The sequence below is a fragment of the Homo sapiens genome, chromosome 3 (assembly GCF_000001405.40).
Source record: "Homo sapiens chromosome 3, GRCh38.p14 Primary Assembly".
Lineage (NCBI taxonomy): Eukaryota > Metazoa > Chordata > Mammalia > Primates > Hominidae > Homo > Homo sapiens.
In genome coordinates, this window is record NC_000003.12 from 147,340,643 (window position 1) to 147,343,864 (window position 3,222).

The following is a 3,222-nucleotide window of genomic DNA, read 5'->3' on the forward strand; positions in this document are numbered from 1 at the left end:
AAATTGCCTATCTAAATTACTATGGCACGCCTAACATTTAAATAATCATGAGAATAATTTCTATAAACTCCACACATAGCATTCTCATTCCTGGCATTGAAAATAGCTATGACTATAACCTCTTATCTCTGTCTTACAAAATTCAGATTGCTGGAGTGGTTGCCAAATCCTATGGTTAGGTTTAGATAGTGAGAAATAAAATGCACAAGCTATAAGTAATCAATGAGAGGTAGCTGCTCTTTCCAACTTTGTTTTATCATGCTTATTGATGAATTCTTATTTTTTATATTATTTTAAATGAAGACCTCACAAGAACACCTTCTCCATCAATTTCTTCTTACTTCATGGAAAATGATAATAAATCAAGAAACATAAATGACATCTCTGTGTCTCTTATATACATCTCTATATAAAATGACGTATCTATGATTTCATGATTTTGTTTAAAGCATTAGTAAGCTACTTAGCAGGGATTCTAGCTTAACTGCAGAGTGGCTGTTGAGATTGTTCAAAACCAAGCCTACATATTTGTCTGTAAGACTTTAAATTGATGAAGGCATAAATTCATACATTATCTTTCTGTATCAAGGATGCAAGAAAAGAGAACGGAATTTGAAAAGGTTAGAAAAGGGTAAGAGTAAAAAGGAGGTAACATAAAGATGGCATGAGGAAAACCAAAACGGCAATTAGTAGTTTACCTCCACCCTAGGAAGGTGAAATAGATAAGGAGAATTCTTCGTTGAAGTGATAAGCAAAAAAGTGAGAAGGTGGTAAAAGCTTTATTTACTGTATCATTATTACCCATAATCAGAAAATATTGTCCATGTGGCCAAAACAAATACATGTAGCAAAAATTCAAAAAACAAATGTATTTTATAAGTGTTAGCCTGATCTTCAAACTCCAGACTCCAATCTCCAAAGCATTATTTTAAGAAAGAAAGACGGTACTATAGGATTCAACTATAAGTGATTAGCCTTTAATTATATTACCATTATTCACTTTTCTCCTAAAATATACATAATTTTTCCAGACTTACGAAAACTCTTTTTCAGACTTATTAAACCTCTTTAATTGCTAATGTACTCACTTCCTACAATTTGCACTACATTACCCCAAATTTGTCCTCACTCTGCAGAAGTGCTTCATGAAGACTTCTATTGTTTGCCAAGAAACTAACCCTCAAGAACAGGCAGAGGTTCCTATACAAGTGCTAATGAGTGCTTGGCTTCCAAGCAGCAATCTCGCCACTGCAGCTCTCACACAACAGTGTTAATAAGTATTTAACGCCTTTAGGGAAGCCTCCTGGGTTGGGGACAAAGCACCCAAAAGAGGATGTTCTAATCCTCAACCCCAGTGGTTCTCAAACTCTGGCATGTTTGGCATGTTTCAAAATCACCCAGAGCACTTCCTTATATAGACATCAGGTGTCTTTACCAAAGATCCTGATGCTGTGGAGCTGAAACAGGGCCTGGGAAGCTGCATTTATGAGTCCATCATCACCTATGATCCTAATGCAGATAATTCATGGATAAGATTTACTCTGGACTGCCCCAGTTTTTTGCATACTATTTTGTCATGATTATTAACAGCAACTCCTTTTATCCTCAAAGTATCATGGTCTAGACATAGAGTATATAGCTGCCAACATTGGACCCAACTTTATAGAATCAATCATATGGACCACATTTTGGACTGCCCTATTCTACACTGTTTTTAAGAATAGGATGTAAATGGTCTTTACTGATCTACAGATCACTTTAGACCCTATCACAATTGTGCTCATTGATTTGACTATTTTTAATTCTACCATATACAGGTGTTGATCTAGGCCCTAGGATACAATAGCAAACAAAGCATGCGATCTATATTCTTTAAGATTTGTGAGGAGTAGGATAAGGGAAGCCATACATGTACAAAGACAATGTCAGATAGAAAATGCTGTGACAAAACTGAGACTAATTGAGATAGAGAATACCTGTGGGTTTGGAGCAAAAGAAACAGGGTGGTTGAGAAAGGCCTGGCTGAAGAGGTGAGCTCAAGAGCAAAAACCTTGAAGTATAATGGGTTGATTCATTTGATAAACAAAACACAAGTCAATGTGGTTTAGGAGTAGAGTGCAAGAAGGTGAGGGCCAGTCAGAAAAATAATCATCACCATAATGACAATTATGAACCAGGCATAGCTGTAAACCTTTATATACATTAATAGATTTAAAATTAACAATGATCTTATGAAGTAAGTACTATTGTCCCCATTTTACAGATGAGGAAATAAAGACCTGGAAGCTGAAAGAACTTGACCAAATACCCACATGTAGCACGTGATGAACCCAGGATTCACAGCTGGGAAATCTGGTTCCAAAGTTTGCGCTTTTAAAATATCTCTCGATGATAATAATAGTAGTGATGATAATAACTATAATTAATGCCAGCTAACCTTAAGTAAGAACTTACTATAGTACTCTTTTAGGTATATTTCAGGTATAATCTCATCTCATCATCACAAAAATTTCCTGAGGTAGGTACTATTATTTTCTCAATTTTACTTATGAGAAAAACTGAGGCACAAAGACAGACTTTTAACTTGCACACAGTCACGAGGCAGCAAGTATTAGAGCAGAAACACATCACAAAAAGCCTTGCAAACCATGAAAAATCATATTAAATTAGATGATCTGATGAAAAATGTGCCCCATGCACATTTTTACTCTTAGAGTCCAGATAATTTTCTAGTAAATTTTTCACCTTTAATACATCTTTTTTTTTTTTTTTTTTTTTGAGACAGGGTCTCTGTTGCCCAGGCTGGAGTGCAGTGGTGCGATCATGGCTCACTGCAGCCTTGACGCCCTTGGCTCAAGGGATCCTACCACCTCAGCCTCCTAAGTAGCTGGAACCACAGGTGCATGCCACGACACCTGACTATTTTTTGTATTTTTTGCAGAAGACAGGGTTTTACCATGTGGCCCAGGCTGGTCTCAAACTCCTGGGCTCAAGTGATCTACCTGTCTCAGCCTACCAAAGTACTGGGATTACAGGTATGAGCCATTGCGTGAGTCTATCTTTAATGTATCTTCAAAATCTACTTTCAGTATTAACTTGGGAGTCTCTTGCAAAGTGCTCAAAGTCTATTTTGCAACATCTAAATTCTTTTTTTATTCTGGAGCCATCATACTTCATGGTATTCCTGGTTCTTCCTTGGCACATTTCTGCCTTTCTACACTA

General features: G+C 36.6%; 1 annotated feature.

Annotated features, from left to right (window-relative positions):
- Positions 825-1,569: an enhancer, noted in NCBI's record as "OCT4-NANOG hESC enhancer chr3:147059254-147059998 (GRCh37/hg19 assembly coordinates)". NCBI's record gives its function as "activates a minimal SCP1, AML or CMV promoter by ChIP-STARR-seq in naive and primed H9 embryonic stem cells {active_cell/tissue: H9 hESC(naive and primed)}" and the evidence as "EXISTENCE:reporter gene assay evidence [ECO:0000049][PMID:30033119]".